General features: G+C 33.7%; 1 long non-coding RNA gene across 1 annotated transcript in view; it reads right to left on the bottom strand.

Annotated features, from left to right (window-relative positions):
* Positions 1 to 11,861, bottom strand: part of LOC101928622 (uncharacterized) — a 143,555-nt gene extending 131,694 nt beyond the window's left edge. The window contains exon 1 of the long non-coding RNA NR_125902.1: positions 11,803 to 11,861. This is a non-coding gene — a long non-coding RNA (uncharacterized LOC101928622). The remainder of the gene's footprint in view (positions 1 to 11,802) is intronic.
* Positions 11,862 to 18,685: the final 6,824 nt, after the last annotated feature.

The following is an 18,685-nucleotide window of genomic DNA, read 5'->3' on the forward strand; positions in this document are numbered from 1 at the left end:
ATGGTAAAGGCTCTGCAGACAGCATAGCTACCATTAGCTCATCTCCATTTCATTACAAACTGCATCATTCTACAAAGGTCGTGTGATTTCTCTATTTTCCTCGGTATTCAAACCATGGTCTCAAAATTTACGGTACCTAACAGGAGCATCTTATTGGTCAAGCCTAGGACATGTGCCTGCGACAAGGCCAACTAGAGAGAAGAAATACCTACCATCTTCCATTTGAAAAATTTGGTCTTGGGCTGGGGGCGGCGGCTCACACCTGTAATCCCAGCACTTTGGGAGGCCGAGGCAGGCGGATCACGAGGTCAGGAGATCGAGACCATCCTGGCTATCATGGTGAAACCCCATTTCTACTAAAAATTCAAAAAATTAGCCGGGTGTGGTGGCAGGTGCCTGTAGTCCCAGCTACTCGGGATGCTGAAGCAGGAGAATGGCATGAACCCGGGAGATGGAGCTTGCAGTGAGCCGAGATCGTGCCACTGCACTCCAGCCTAGGCAACAGAGGGAGACTCCGTCTCAAAATAAATAAATAAATAAATAAAAAGAAAAGAAAAATTTGGTCTTGGAAGAGCACTAAATCTAAAAAAGGGATGCCTAGAGAGTATATTAAAATATTAGATAATGAGATGCTGTTAAGTACAAAGATGATAAGTGTACTTATCTTTGGTAGTCATTATTCCCATCTTTACAACATTAAAAGCTGAACACTAAAAATACTGACTTCTTTTAAGCTATCAGAAAACAGGTCCTACAGCAAAGTACCATCCCAAAATCTAAGGGAATGAATCTAGACAGTCAAAGATGAGAGCTGTTTATCTAGAGGGGAAGCTGCTGAAGCCATAAGTTAATAGAAACTATTAAACAGTAATTTTGACAAATTGATGGAAGCTGAGTGTGGACTGGCATAAGGGTGAGAAATTCTTGAGGCTGAAGTCTTAGGGGGCATTTCTTTTATGCATTTTTACCTCCAGGATCCCCACCAGGTTCTCACAGTGAAAAGCCAGAAATGCTCCCTCTTGGCTCTTGCAGAAGGAGAGGAAGAGTAATGATTGTGAAATAAGTCCAGAGCATTTTTCAACACAAAGATTAAGCCTCCAGAGAAAGACTTTATTACACCTTATCCCACCTCAGGGAAGGGCATTCCTAATACTTCAGCAACATCTAGACTTCCTTCTTCACCTGAGCGGTGGCAGTGACTGGATGGATGCAAAGAAACAGTTATGAAGGTCACAATTCAGGGATCCAAGCCCACTAAAATACTGACATTTTCACATAAGACCCATAGAGCTTCAGTATAATAACAGTGAATTGCAATAGAAATAAAACCAGTATAATAACAGTGAATTGCAAGACTCAATCTCTCAGAAGTCTTGTACTTGGAGAAGGCCAAAGTCAACATGAATGAGAACCCTAGTGGCAAATCAAGCTGGCACCTACAGCATAGCAAACAATTAACACAGTGGAACTCCTGTTCATGTTAACCTAAAACCTCATAGTACATGTCTATTTACCTCTGTTCCTCTCATCTAATACATCCCAACTGACTTTCAACAACAAACAAATATTAGGAATGCTAAAATATGCAGGAAAAAATCACAGTCTGAAGAGCCAAAGTAAGCATCAGATCTTGGCTCAGGCATGACAAATTTTCAAATTATTATATAGGAATCTTAAAATGATCAATATGTTAAGACCTCTAATAGAAAAAGTAGACCACATTCAAAAACAGACATGTAATGTAAGCAAAGAGATGGAGATTCTAAGAAAAGAAATCAAAGGGAAATGAGAAAAAATAATTTAAAAAAACACCTGAACAGAAATAAAGAGAGCCTGGAATGTACATCTCAGCATTAGGCTGGTGCAAAAGTAACTGTGGTTTTTTTAATGGAATGGACATTACCAATATAAGAATCAATGAACCTGAAGATAGGTCAACAGAAACTCCCCAAACTGAAATGTAACGAGAGAGAGAAAAAAATACATAGAAACCCCAAAACTATGGGGCAATTTCAAAAAGGGTAACAAACATACAAAAGTTACTAGTTCCTTCTCAATGCAGCATTCATTATTGCTTTAGTGAACAGAATGTCCTCTGAGTCCTCCCACTGAAGAGTACAAAGATTGGTTTTATTAGAATTTTCATTCTAACATCCCCACTTCTCCTAGCCTTTTGATCTTTTTGTCTACCATCTGCCATCCATTTCTAGTATGTCAATTTTACTGTGAAACATTGCTTTCTCCAAGCTTCCAAGAATTATCTTAGCAGCATGTTAGCACGGCTCCCAGAATCTTTGTCAGGGTGCAAAATCCTGTGTTCTGGCAGAGTGCTACCATATCAAATAACTTATCCAACTTTATATAACTTCCTAGTATCCTCAGGATCCAATCACAGATATGGCTCCCCAGCTCTTGCCAGAACACTTTGGCTTGGCCCCGTAACTTCTTCAGCATATAGCCCCTTTTTTCCTCTATCAAGCTGAGTACTTGCTCATCCAGATTCTGTTATGTATTGACACCAGTTATTTCCCTGGAAGCCAGAAGGGCAGGAGAAATAAAACAGTTCATATTTTGTTTTATGTTTTGTTTGTTTGTTTGCAAAACAGAGATTGTGTATTGTCTTAAATAAGGGGAGAACTAGCCATTAAAGCAGAAGAGTTGACCCCTTTGGTAGACCCAGAGTACTCAGGGATATCTAAGGTTTCATGATATCTCAGTATGTCAGTCTTTTTGCCCCATATACCAACTCTTACAGTTTCATTTTTTTCCTGTAAAACACCTAATCTTGACATAACAGATTTGCTGGATTTGAGACTTTAAAGTACTTCAGAACTCTGTTACCCTTTTAGGTAAAACCTAAAACTTATCCTCATTTTTATTCTGCCCTCTTGCTGAAAGAGAGGATTATCTCTTTATATGCTTCCAGTTTCTCCCTCTGATTTTCACATTTTGCCATAATTAGTGATTATTTACTTTCAGCCCTTTATTGCCTTTCTCTAATGAATCTATAAACAACAGCTATATTATTACATAGTCTTTATAATCAATATTTCTCTTGTATCTCTTGACATCCTATACTACCTCCTCTGACAATGCGTACACTTACACTGGTATGTTGTCCCAGTTCGTCCCTATTGACAATTTTTACATTTACACCATTACATCACACCTGGAGTTATCCACAGTCCAACTACCGTCAAAGACAGGGTCCTCATTGCCAGCCAGCAACAAAATACCATGTTATAATGTTTCCCCAAATCACTCCCGACTTTAACTGTCATAGCTGGAGTTTCTCAGAAAACAGACTCTTAGATAGAGATTTGTATGGAAAAAAATTATTTGGAAGTGCTCTTGTAAATAACATCTCTAATAAATGAGGGAGACAAGTATTAGCAGAAGGTGAATTGTAATTCTGTGGTAACAGAAAACTTATTCAACCCCACAGGTAGCCCTGGAGCAAGGATGACCTTTCAGATTTGATGCAAATAAAGGCAAGAAGATTTCAGAATATATCCATTGGCCAGTTATTGTAAAAGAGCTGTATTAATAATGTAATGGCTAAAGACACAACATTTTTTAAAGTTTATTTCCCATTATTAAGATTCTCCATTATAAAGTCTGGACAATTTAAAAAAATATGAAGCCCTGAACTACAGTGTTTGCAGATTTCAGTGGCATATATATTCCTACCAAAGCCAATTTTAAATTTCTAATATAACATTGACAAGAAATGTGCAGTAGCACATGTGTCCAGAGATGCAAGAAATATAAACATAAGAGGAAAAGGAAGTCTAATCATTGGGAAGCAATGAGTTGTGAGTAGTTAATGCACTTCAAAATATTATTCATTTAATTTAACTACATACATTAATTTTTAAACATAACTGTGTCCAAAAACTGCCTCACACATGTTCTGAATATTTAAAAATTGACTTTTGCAAATGATTAAAAGCTATCTTGAACAAACTAATGGCTCCCATCATTAGATTCAATGATTATGTGACCCATAGTCAACTCAAATGGAACATACACATTTTTTTCTTCTCTCAGTTGGCCGCTTGTGTTGGAAAACTAACAAGGTGTAAAGCCATGCTAAAGGCAGTTTTTGAATTCTCTTAAATAACTGAGTCCCACAGTTTTTTTCTCTGGAATAGGGATGACCTGGAAGGGAGTTTTGTCAGAACACTAAAATTGTTGTCAAAAATTCATGTTTTAATGTATTTTCTTCTTATTTCAAGATAACATATAATTACTGTAACTTTAACTTTATATCTTCTCTATCTATATTTTAGAGTAGAGGAGAGCACCTATAGCCCATGGCACAGAGGAATAACCAGCTAGAGATGTGGCTTGTGAAATGGGCATGAAACAAAAATGATAGTTCTCTTGTCTGATTATCTCTGACACTGCAAAAGCCTACACTAATTAAGCAACTATCAAGCTTGCACAAGATAACCTCACATGCATGATCTTAACGAATGCTAGCTATTATCTGGAAATTAGATGCACTAAAATGATTTGACCAAATTACCCCAAAAACCTTCAGTTCTTGTGAGCAGTGGAAGCCAGATTAAGTTAGTTATATCAATTTAGAAGCTTACCAATTTCATGTATTAATTACTTTAATCAAATGTATCATTTACACAGGTCTTAATCAGCAAGATAAAATGAAAAAAAGTATATGGCATAATTAACAATAGCACTGATTTCTGTGGTTACGTTCTAAATAGAAACTGCTGTTAGCGTATTGCAGCTGCCTTAACATATGGTTTGAAAAAAAATAGCAAAAGTAGTGATCAATTGTGCTTCTAAGTATTTGCAAATAAAAAGGCAAACAGAATAAGTAGCATTCCACATATTTCAAAACATGTTACGCATGACAAATATGTGCAATTTTTATTAGTCAATAAAAATGTGATAAGTAAAATATCAAAAATAGAATAAAATACACATCTTAAAAAAATACATAGCATTCCTACATCTGCTATTACGGGAACCAAAGAGGAAACACCAAAGTTAGGACTGGTAAAGAGTTAGTATGGTATTTAGTAACCAATGTCTGGGACATGATAACTTGGTGACCTAAATAAATTCTGGTTCATTCTGTGGTTTAGGCAATGTTCTTGAAAAGCTGGATCAATATCATTGCTGATTTGCATTATTGTATACATTTTGGTGATTAATCTTGTTTGAAAATTATGTTCAGGGACTAGTAGGAGAGGGGAGCTATACTTTATAAAAGTAAGACAGATAATACTTATCTAATAAGGAATTGCTAGGAATTAATTTTCCCTTGATAGCGTATTAGTGAACATATTTTCAGGCACTTATAGAAATGTAAATCTTAATTTAAAAAGCAATATATTATCTGTGGGCACATAAAGCAGCAACACCATTTCATTGTGGTGACTGATCAATGTGGAGAATGACTTTCACACATGCTAGTAAATAAATTAAATGAAAATCACATCCTAAGGAAAAATATTACAAGTTAACCTTTCCAAGAACACTTCTGACAATAAGTAGATATTGTTGAGTGCTGAAAATTAAAGAACAATTATAGGTTTTAAAAAAGACAACACTACTATCCCATTTTTCTCTCTTCCTAATTCTTTGTATTTATAGTGCTATCAATTGCTTAAGTGCAAATACATGTCAATGAAAATTGTCATATTAAATACATAAATATCCATATTGTATAATGTAGACGGTCACACATATGTTCACACATTTATTTTGAACATAACTTTCAGTACTTTTCTTATTAAAAATAAATTTTGTGTGAACACTGCATAATGAACAACTCTGAGCTCTTGTTACACCCACAGCTCCCTTACAAGCCAAGCACTCAGACATGGTTCCTTGCATGTGAGTTTCGTGCCTTAGGGTCTGATGACCAGGAGAATTTCTTCAGACCACAGATTGTTGCCTGACCAAAAGTTTCACTGAATATAAGGGAAGGCAGTAGCTTTATGAGGAAGACTGGCTTTAAATCTTTAAGCCTACCCAGCCAAATCTCTCTTTTTGTTAGTTGATTAACATCAGACATAAAGGCAATTTTCTCAGGCAGTTGTATGGAGTAAAACTCACATGATATGCAGAGCAAGCATTCTGAAGAAAAAAAAAAAAACATTTTTCAGAAGAAACCAAGAATAACCAGAAGTGGAAGGGTAGAGGTAAGGCTGAGGCAAAAAAAAAAAAAAAAAAGTAGACACCATAGAAACCAAATTGTATGAGTTTGAGTTGTGAATTATTTTGGTGACTTTAGTCTAGATATAGTATTATAAATAACACTTTATATGACCTTAATGTTTTCACTTTATTTGTTGGGACATTTTCTTGCATTTCCCTTCTTTTCCGCATAATTTTACAATAAAAAGCCTACAGTAGTAGACGTAAACTAAACACATTCCTGTTGCTTGATATCTGAGTCAAATCAACACAATATGAATGTAGATACTTAATACATATATATGCATATGTATTTGTAAATGTGTATTAAGGAATTTACATTCTAAAATTATTCTAGAGCACATACGTTAGTTCTGTTTCTGGAAAGAGATTCAAAGGCTCTTTTGAAGAGCTGCAGAGACTCCAGTTTTTTAAAAATTTAGAAATAAAAGTTTGGATAATTATGTTTCTTATCACCAGGTTGTCATAGTCATGGAAAAATGTAGAACATTAGATCCACCATTCTTTTTTTACATCTCCTAGAACTTGCTATGTTTGCTGAAATTCCTGGGCTGTCCACTTTGGAGAAAGAAACAATATGGACATCACTGCAATTATCAAGGAATATTCCTACTACCAGGGAATATTATTGAATTCCATTTCTCCTTCATGGCAAGGAAGAATAGTTCTTGGGTGAGAGAAGCCAAAAGCAAAGATCATAGTTAACCTTATCAGGGTTAACTGGCCCAATAAAAAAAAAAAGTTAATATTCTGAGAAATTCTTAGAGACCTACCATCTTAATTGTGCTATAACCTAGCCAAAGGCTTATAGCTTATGCACAAACTTCCAGAATTAATGGGAACAGCTTCTACTATATCAAATGATATCATGGAAAATGTTCCAAGAACAATTTTTATAAAGCTTGGTTTCTGGCAAGTGTTTATGTCATCAGAAATCATTTAAGCCTATCATCTAATTTTTTGATTGAGAAATATGAGGTCCAGAAATATTTAATAACTAATTCAAGATCACAAATCTAGTTAGACTGAAGCACAGAACAACAATGTATGTTTCTGGATTCCCATTTCAATTACTATTTCACTGTCCATGTTTTCTTCACCATTGCATAGATTCAGCCACTTTCACCTGATGATACAAATCTTCAACCAATATTCACAGGTTTATGTTTGTACTCGATTTAAAATTTGGCCAGTAAGACCTACTATTGCATAATAGTAAAACTTTCATTTAATGAATGCTGTGTTATAATAATCAATACTAGGTAACAGTGCATTACTTTCATAACCCTATAAAGATCATAAAATCAGGTAACAAAAAACAAACCTTAAGAGACAACTACAGTTATTTATACCATTTTACAGAGAAATAACTTATGTTTCAAGGAGCTTAAATAAATTGTCCTTCGTAAAAAAGCTGAAAAGCTTGAAAAGTGAGGCCTGCATATCTATTTGACTCTTGAGAGCTACCTCAGTTAAATTCAGTTTTTTCCTTGTCTACATTTCTGCACAAAATTCATTTTCACTTGATTAGATGCTAAATATTGTCTTAATGGAGACTAATCATTATTCCTTATTTTGAAGATTTCTGTATTTTATACTCTTTCATTCTTTGAACTTAAAGGTACTTTAGAGTCTTTGCCAGGACTTCTAATCCTTATCATTTGTAGTTTTTGCATTTCTCAATGTAGTCTCTTTTTTTGCCATGGAAGATGGTATGCATCAATAGTGTTGAAGGGATTACAGACTCTTTTATTTATTTAATGTCATGCTTTACGAGGAATAGATAATAGAGTTTAGGACATAAATTCACACAGTATGCTGGAGAAATAATAATCTTATGTGTTTCAAAGCATAAATCCTCCAAGATGATTGAGGCATGAAATGTGTGACCAAAGAGAGAAAAAGTTTTTTGTTTTTGGGTTTGCAGCATTTCTTCTCTTGATTTGCAAAATAAATAAATAAATATGTATAAACATACGTGAATGAATGAAAAAAAAATGGAACAACCAATCCAGGAAACATGGCAAAACCACTCATGTTTACTCAATCATTCATTCAATGAATATTTTCTAAGCTTCAATATATAAATGACAATAGTGTGAATGTTGTAGAATATTTCAGGTATTGGTGTTGTATACAACTCACTTAAAACATTATAAATATGAATTGTAGAACAGATTCATAAATTATTACACAAGAACTAAAATACATTCATATGTATAATATGAGGGATGTAAGGTTTACTTCTACCCACAAGAGAAACATTACTGTAGCCAGAGCAGATAGCCATTAAGATCTACCAAAATTTGGAGCATTCTTCAATAGCACAGAGTCATTTAAAGTACAGAAAAAAAAAGATCATTTTTGAAAAAGTAAAGCAGAGTATAAAATCACATTACGTATTACTTCTAAATAACTTTTTTCTCCCAATATTCTATTTTACTTTCTAAAGGATGCATTTTAGAATTGATAACACCTAAAATGACTAAAGAAATATTACATGTGTGCTGATAATAGTGAAACAAAAACCTTTGAATTTACCAATTTATTCATGTGTGATCTGTAATTTTGAGATGATTTACATAATTACAATAAAAATAAAACAACTGTGCTCATAATTACTTCAGAAGGTATAGGCCCTTTAGTGAAAAAAAAAGATGAATATGCATTGTTAATATAATTTCTCTTTATCTTCCTAAGGCATTTCAGGTATTGTTTAAATATAGAAAAAAATACCGTAGTTTCAAGAAATAAATGGAGTAAAATGTTTGTATCTTTATTGGAGTTATTAAAAATTATTACATAATTAAACTTGTAGAATGTGTCTACATGAGATACTGATTCAAATATTTTATTCAGGATATTCTGTGTAGTAATAAACATATTCAGCCAAAATTTGTGTCAATGATTTTTCTAAATTCAACAAATTCTAATTTTCTCATTACCTTACAAAGCAGCACACTGTCAATGCTTTTTTATGTAGCTAATTAATTCCCACCAACTGCTTAGCAAGTAGAAGTTTCTAAAGCAAGGAAAAGTGGTAGTCAAATCGATGTTAATACATTAACACAATTTCAAATGCATTCTACATGTTCCATTAACCATTACTCATCCAGTACTTCTTCCATTTGAAAATACTTTCACTTTTCATTTTATCACAAAAAATTTCTTCTTTCAAACAGTATTATGCTACTTCTTGTAATTTCCTCTGAGGATCATCATCAAAGGGAAATATAAGAAATACAACAGGTGTTGGAACCACAAACACATTAAGCATTTAGACCACTTAAGGAACACTGAGCAGATACATCATTAAACATAGTAACATCTATGTTCATGGTAAAGCAAGAAATATGAAAAGTAATGCTGGTTATACATGTGATTCTTTTTTTTTCAAGAACAAATATGAAAGTGATCATAATTCTGTAACGTAATTGAATTTTTTAAAGTTCTTGTAATTTTAAATCAGCCTAGTTCCTCAATGATACATTTATCTTTTCCTCAGTAATAGATTTATTTAGAGGCAACTCTGAATATTTGAGAATGAGTGCTTCATAGTTTTGAACATCCATTCATTTATTTATTCATGATTTTTATTCACTCACTCATTCAATATTTACCTAATCGTTGAATAGAATACATTATTCTAGATATTTGGTATAAATAGGTGAAAAAAAATAAGACATGACCTCTGAAATCAAATTAGTCCATTATAGTAAAAAATACTGCATAGAAAAGTTACAAAAATGGACATTACTCCCAATTTTTTGTTAATGCTTTATAGTATGGTCCTGAATTAATTCAACAATTGAATATTTTTAATTTTCGTTTTTAATAGCTTATAGCATATAATATTTGGGATGCCAGATGTCAATATTTTAGCAATATTTACAATAGTTTACAATATTTACAATAATTTAGCAATATTGGCAATAATTACTTTGAATAGAAAATTTGCTTCTCACCAGCAATTGTGTAAGTAATAGATTACAATTTGCTTTCTGTAAAAAAAAAGGCAAAATTAAACAAAAAAATCACTAGTGTAGTTTTCAATGATACTGTCATTTGTATTTGAATAAAGGATGGGACAACTTTCCATTTCTTTTTCCAGAAATGACAGTAATAGTGAAAGGAGGAAGAGTAAATATTCTCAAATTTACCCCCCAATCTTTTGATGTGTAATTGTTTGAATGTTTTGACCCATAGAAGAAGAATTCTTGATGTGCTTTGAAGGATTTTACAATTTTATATGGATTAGTGGTAGGGGAATAAAAGAGAATTGGTCAGCTTTCATAAAGCAGTTTATATGAAGAAGTAGATGAGTGAAGTGAATGTAAAGCTAAGCAGATGAATGTCACGGATTTGTTCTGAGAAATGTGGCGTTGGGCAATTTTGTCCTTGTGCAAACATCATAGAGTGTAGTTTTACAAACCCAGATGGTAGACCCTACTATACCCCTAGACTATACAGTATAGCCTAGTGCTCCTAGACTAAAAACCTGGATAGCATGTTACTGTACTGAATAATGTAGGCAACTGGAACACAATGATATGTATTCGTGTATCTAAACATATCTGAACATAGAAAAGGCATAGTAAAAATATGCTATAAAAGATAAAAAAAAATGGTACACCTGTATAGGGCACTTACCATGAATGGAGCTTGCAAGATTGGAAGTTTCTCTGGGTGAGTCAGTGAGGGAGTTGTGAGTGAGTATGAAGGTCTAAGACATTACTATATACAACTGTAAACTTTATGAACACTGTACACTTAGGCTATACTAAATAAACAAATATATTTTTAAATAAGATAACCTTAGCTTACTGTAATTTATATTTTATAAACTTTAAAAAATTTTTTGACTCTTGTAAAAAGTTTAAGACACAAAGATATTGTATAGCTGTACAAAAGTATTTCTTTCTTTATATATTAATTGTATAAGCTTTTTTTCTTTTAAAAATTAGGCCGGATGTAGTGGCTCATGCCTGTAATCCCAGCACTTTGGGAGGCTGAGGCAGGCGGATCACAAGGTCTAGAGTTCCAGACCTGCCTGGCCAAAAATTAGCTGGGTGTGGTAGTACGCGCCTGTAATTCCAGCTGCTTACGAGGCTGAGGCGGGAGAATCGCTTGAACCCGGGAGGCGGAGGTTGCCGTGAGCCGAGATTGCGCCACTGCACTCTGGCCTGGGCGACAGAGCAAGACTCCGTTTAAAAAAAAAAAAAATTATTGTTTTTTAACTTCTTAAACTTTTTGTTAAAAACTATGACATAATCATACACATTAGCCTAGGCCTACACAAGGTCAAGATCATCAATCTTCCATCTTCACATGTCCTACTGGAAGGTCTTCAGGGTTAATAGCACACATGGAGCTGTCTTCAGCTCCATCCTAAGGTAACAATGTCTTCTTCCAGAATACCTCCTGAAAGACTTACGTGAGGGTGTTTTACAGTTAACTGCTTTTTTTCGATAAGTACAAGGTATACATTCTAAAATAGTAATAAATAAGTATATTATAGTAAAATACATACACCATGTATTAGTTCGTTTTCACGCTGCTGATAAAGACATACCTGAAACTGGGAACAAATAAAGGTTTAACTGGACTTACAGTTCCACATCGCTGTGGAGGTCTCAGAATCATGGCGGGAGGCGTATGGCTCTTCTTACATTGCGGCAGCAAGAGAAAATGAGGAAGAACCGAAAGCGGAAACCCCTGATAAACCCATCAGATCTCATGAGACTTATTCACTATCGCGAGAATAGCAGGGGAAGGACCGGCCAGTGATTTAATTACCTCCCTCTGGCTCCCTCCCACAATACGTGGGAATTCTGGGAGATACAATTCAAGTTGAGATTTCGGTGGGGACACATCTAAACCATATCACACCGGTAACATGGTTATTTATTATCATTATCAAGTATTATGTCCTGTATATAATTGCATGTGCTATACTGTCATGCAACTGACGGGTCAGTAGGTTTGTTTATACTAACATCAGCACAGGCACGTGAGTAATGCATTGTGCTATGATGGCTAGGATGGCTACATCATCAGCAAATAAAAGGAATTTTCAGCTCTGTTATAACCTAATGGGACCAGCATCATATATGCAATTCTTCATTGACAGAAATGTTGTTATGAGGTGCATGACTGTAGTTGGACTCCACAAATTGAAAAACATGATATAAAGACCATAAAATCCATGAGAATGTGAATGAGTCAATGGCAGAGAGTAAGAGGTAATAATTGTTTAAATAATAAAGCAAATTATTTAAATTCAGTAATTTTTAAGTATAGAAGTCCTATTGCTTAACTTAGAAAATTTTTAAGTAAAAATTATGAAGATAAAGAAAAAAAATTAGCAATTATCCTATCCCTGTAATGTAATCTCCATTAACATTTAGGGGTTTGTTCCTCCATGGATATTTCTATTTAGCACAGAATAAGTAATTTTTTCCTGTATTTTATAAAAGTGGCATCTATCTTTAGCTGCAGTTTGAGTTCAGATTATTTCACTTATTTTTCTCCAACAAGTTTTTTATAAGTGGCTTAACTTTGCTGTAACCATCCCTTATAATCTTTCTTATTGGAAGGAAATACTACAAAGCTTTGTGATTGTTGCAAGTTTGGGTATAATTGCAGTTATGAGAGCAAATCTTAATGTAAAAAAAGAAACTTCATTTTTATATTTAAATATTAACCCAGTGGGTTATGATCTGAGTTACTTCAAGTTTCTTGGTGTTACAACCTAACTACCTAATTTGTTTTTCAGATTTATGATGCTTTTTGAGTAACTATTGATAGCCTCCAAGAGTTAAAGATAGCTAGTGGCTGGATATTTTCTCTTCAAAAACTTTACTATCATGAGCTGTGCTATAACAAAACCCAAGTCACAGATTATATTCTGACATATTTGTTAGCAAGCAAACATGTGTGCACTCCATACACGTGTGTGGACACAGCTGTGCAATCTTTTCTGCAATCCTGACGAAGTCTCTCATTTCTGACTTTTTTAGACAATCAGGTAAATTCTTGGTGTGGACAATTTTTTTCAGCATTCAATTATCATTTAAAAATTATCCTGTGACAAAATATTTTGCTATTTTGATCCAAGAGAATGCGGGGTTCTAAGCCTAAGACTCCATTCTGATGAGGGCTTCTGGTTTCACTAGACCTTTAACTTATCAGAATTGAAGTTTCTGCAAGTATTTTTCCTTATCTGCATATTTTTACTACTGATCATTACCAACAAAAAATCATTTCTAACATTCATTATGTTAATTTATAAGCCCCTTAATGTTGATTGGACATAAAAAGAGTTGTAGCATTTATTTCTGGAGGAAAGTTTTTAATTAGATCTTTTAATACTAAATCAGACCAGTATGGAGATGATCAATATCTATATCCATATCTATATCTATATCTATATCTCTCATCTACATCTACATTTTGTCAACACCTTTATTTATGCCTATACACATATGCATTCTCTATATTAAAACATCTTAAATTGTAAATAATATAAAAACTGAGAGTTTATTTTTGGTACTTTAGGCTAATTGACATCTTCGTTCACAAAGTCCATTGTGGACAATCAGAAATAAGGTGATGCTGTTCCTAAGATTGTCCAAGGATCTCCTGTTAACTTGAATTAAGGGAAATTCCACTCTACAGGATTTTCACAGAATACTAGCATCTTATGTCTCTGCCCTGAGATAAACCTCACACAGTGTGCTCAGATACATGTTCAGAAGGACTTTTCTCCAGCTGTTGGATATTTTTGCAGTGAACAGCCCTCAACTCTTAGTCATTTCAAGAATTGTCTCAGTGAAGAAACACACCTTGGCCAATGTCATATTAACTTCCTATGGTGGCCACACTAAATAAACATGGGGTATAAAAAGGTCTGGTCCTCTTTCCCCTACTAGGAATTACTTTGAAGGGCCTTTTTAGATCCAGAGGTCCCCAAGGAGCCTACATGGCTGTGCAATTTCTCTACCTGGAAAATCGTACCTCCTTCCCTCTTTTACAGATGTTGATTCTGTGCTCGATCTCCAAAATCTGACCTCCATGCCAATCTGTGTCAGATTTTACTTTTCAGAAAACCCAACGCTTTGTCATTACTCACCTGTCAATAAGAGCCATAATACACTTCAATTCATAGAGTTAAAACACTGCAGTACCACTTATAGCATATTAATGTCTAGTTTCCCTGTAATGTTCTATGTCATTCTCTTGAGATCAACTCAAGCTCTCTGAAAGCTGGGGTAAAATTATTTTTTCACAGCTCCTGATGCTTAAGGTAAGCATTTATGCTCTTTACATTGGCTATAGCTAAGAATGCATTTTCTTACTTAAGGCTCACATCCATATTATTATTTATATTTCCTTTTTTATTTTATGTCTATTTTGGAGAAGTATAAAAAGTTTCAATAATTCTTTCAGGTCATTGAATTAAGTACATATCTGAGCTGGAATGAACACTATGATATGCTGTGTAATCAAGGTAGAACTGGAATTTTAAAACTTATAACATATATAAAACACTCAAAAATTGATTATATGAACTACAAATTTCCCATGTGCTAAAAGCACAACTTCCTTGGAAGTATCAAAAGAGCCTACAGATCTTGAAGGATTTAAAAATGTTCTGCTTCAACATTAAAATATTATCTATGTGTCAATCATTCTCTTTGATATATGCCATTCTTAACAGAATGGAAGTATTTAATATTTTCAATGCAAACAGTAAAATGTTTACAGCTAAAGATACAACTCTGTGTTAATTAGACAAATAATTTGCAGTAAAATGGGTTTGCTTAATTTTTTGTTCTCATAGCAAAACGATTCTAGATTTTATGTCCCTTTCGGAGAGAATCTTAGTTGTTCTGTTTAATCTACCAAACAGAGCAACGCATTTTTATTGTGGAATATTCATGTTAATAATATATCAAAACCAAGATATGTACCTGGAAAGAACAAGTAAAACAGTACCTGCCCAATCAGAATTTGCCATAGAAGGAGAAATTGGAAGCTCATCTGGGGCCAAAGAGAAGAAAGTGATCTGAGAGAAACCTCAGGAAGAAGAGCCAAAATGGGCAAGGTGCCAGAGTAACTGCTAGTTTCCACTAAGACATACAGTTTTGCTTTTGTTTTTCCAGTGTAGAAAATTAAGATGTAAGGTCTGAGAAACTATGAAATCAACTAGCTTTGGCATTTTGAATTACAATAGAATGCAGCATAAAATACTCTAGAATAGTGAAAAACAAACAAACAAAATAAACCTCATACACATTAGAATGGAAAGTTTTGAGTTTCCAGAATAAATTATAAAACCAAAGAGGTATTTTAGTTTTGAGTAAAATACATCTTTATGTTTAAACAATGGTAAAGTCAATTCATTCAAAATGTTGATGTGTGTATACACACACACACATTCACACCACACAAACATGTACACAATATGCCTACATAAATACATATTAAAGAAACTAGAGGTTTTCCAAAAGCATCCACTTTTCCCATGTGACATTTGAGTCAATTGAGACAGGGATGCAAAATCAGGTGAGAGGAGATGAAATTAACATTTTTATTAGAGGCGAATGTTAGATTGAAAGACATGGCACACATGTATGTCAAACAAAGTTGCAAATCTCTTAGTAAGTGATGGGGGGCAGAGCCGTGTAACTGTTTTGTACAGCGAGGCTTTATTAAAGAAAATGAGAAAAGAGCTGTTTGATCTGAGCATGGTCACTCTATTCACCCAATTACATTAATCACATAGCTCATATCTTATCTAGTGAAAACACAGAATAAAGGTCGATGACAGGGAAAGACTGATTCCAAAGTTACTTTGCATGGAACATGACAATTCCAGAATAAGTGTCCACTCGTGCATGTATCTACATGGATTTTTATAGATAGAAAATTCCTCCCAATGTTTTCAATGTTCTCTGTTTTGGTTCAGAATTTCTTATTGGCAGGGCTTAATGAGAGGGTAGTGGAAAAATATGTTGTATGTGTTATTTGCATATAAACCATCTAATATCTTAGCATTCCTTTTTTGTATTAATCATATGAATTCATGGTATTCGTATGACATTACAAGCCACTATTCTCACCTATAAGTAGATTAAATGTTAAATAAATGTCAGTGGGCCATGTAATGGCCTTTGTTCATAACTGCAGATTTTAGTGTCAAGAAGAAGAGCAGTAGATTTTGCCTCATCTTTAGCAAGCAAACTTATTTTTTTGAATAAAGGAAATGGAAAAGATTCATAGTTTCAAACTATGATTAATTTAGCATCAACATATTTATTTATCTACAACGTATTCAATCAATAAATGTGTCTCAATTTATTAATTCTCTCCTGGATACCAGATAATTCAGTAATTACTGAGAATACAAAAAAGGGATACAATATATATTACATAAATTAAGGAGATTGCAATATAATCTAGTGAATGCTTAGAGGAATGTTTATTTTCCTTCTGTGTTATTATAGGAATATAATCTAGCTCCTTCTATATAGTGGAGAGAGATTTGAAATGGGCATCATTGCAGTCTTTTCACCCCCTCACTCTTCCACATAATAGAAGTAGTGCTAATTGGAATAAGCAAAACCTAGAATGTTAACTGGGATATGGGTTTATTAGGAGATAGAGTCACACTAACTAGTAAGGTCATTAACTCTTATGCCAGAAACTGTGTGCCAGTCAAGCAGTCAATACTCCAAGGAGCTGGATAGTAGCTCTGACTGAGTCTTCCATATGGATCGAATTCACCCACTTCTTATGGTCTACATTTAGACTTGGAGTAGGAGGCTTTATCATTGGTCTTTTACCCCTTTTATTAAGAAGTACTGCAGGTTAGGGATTATTGCATACTTGCCTGTAATAAAGCCAATATTTTTGATGCTTATTGGTCTTTATCTTTTTTTCTCTTTATATTTTATTACTTTGAAGACAGCAATGTGTGATTTGTATCAAACTAAAACATACTAGGGAACATACTGGAGAGGGTAAATGTAAATTAATAATTGTAAATATAAAAATTAATGTGTGTCTATTATTTTAAGTTAGGTTTTTTGCTGAAGAGTCTCAGGTTTGAGAATCAGAAGTACCTGGAAACGGTCATAGACTTTGGATGGCAGACAAAGTACTTTTGGTTATACAGATAATGGGAATTAATGTTTGTACAGTACTTATTACAGAGCACCTCTATGTTAACTGCTTTACATAGAATATCTCATTTACTCCTCACAACCAAATGCACATAATAATGTTGGAAGCAACATCTTAATAAGTGTTTCAGATGCACTAGGACTATTCTAAGTAATATACATAAACTATCACATTTAGTTCCCCAAAGTGCTACGTGAGGTAAATACTGTTATAATCTCTATTTAACAAGTGGGACACTGAGGCATAGAAAATTAAGTAAATTGCCTAAGATTACACAGCTATTACTTCTAAGATGTTCTGATGTCAGGGGATCTACGACAAAATATGATTTACAAACTCTCATGAGCATACAAATGTAGCACAATTGATAATCTTAGTTTTAAAATGACAAAGAGAAAGCCAGAGAAACATCAGAGAATGGAGGAAAACAGAAACTAACTTTGAAATCTTGGAGGCCAAACTATTCTTATGTGAAAGGAAAAAGAAATATACCCAGAATGATATAGCTGGAACTAATGGCTTTCAAATGTGGAGCTAGGAAAGAGGATGATATTTTATTCATGACAAAATCAGTGAGGATTTCTAGGGCTCAGAGAACTCTTAACAGAGGAAAAAAAAGAAAATCTCAGAGTATACAAAAATGTTCCCCTAAAGGGAAACTATATCCAAAAAGTTATTGAGAGGCAGTTTCTCAAAGTTAAGATAGGAAGTCAATAACAAAGCAGGCAACTAGAGAAAATCTATTACATGACTAGGATCATTATATTTGCCACTTCTACCACATTTGAATGGATCTGTGAAGGGAAAACTGGGAATTCCAGTTAGAATATCTCAGAAAACAGTGATTATAAAAGTTATACGGTTAGTATAGATGAAAACTCGGATTTATAAAGAAACAAGACATTTATATGTAGCAAGTGACTCTTCATAATAAGTGAGTCTCAAACTAAGTTAAAATTTGGGCTAGTGGAAGGATGTTCCCAGTACAGAAGTGTCCTACAAAGTCAGGTTAAAACATTAGAATTGGCTTCAGCAATAGACATTTTGTGCTGGCCTACAACTTTTTTATTTCCTGTTTTATATTACAGAAGAATTTACTAGGCTATTTTTGACATAGTGTGCTAATAATGACTATACTTTAAAAAACTTTTTCTCTTAAAGCAGAAAGAAAAAGCATCTTCATCTTAAAAGATTTGTATTGTCAATAACTATACAAACTGAGGAAGGTCTAAGGAAGAAAATAAGGTGGTTCTCAAAGATGAAGAATAAATCAAGTTAATCTGATAAAAATGTGTAGATAACAGAG

This window comes from Homo sapiens, chromosome 4, assembly GCF_000001405.40.
Source record: "Homo sapiens chromosome 4, GRCh38.p14 Primary Assembly".
In the NCBI taxonomy this organism is placed as follows: Eukaryota; Metazoa; Chordata; class Mammalia; order Primates; family Hominidae; genus Homo; species Homo sapiens.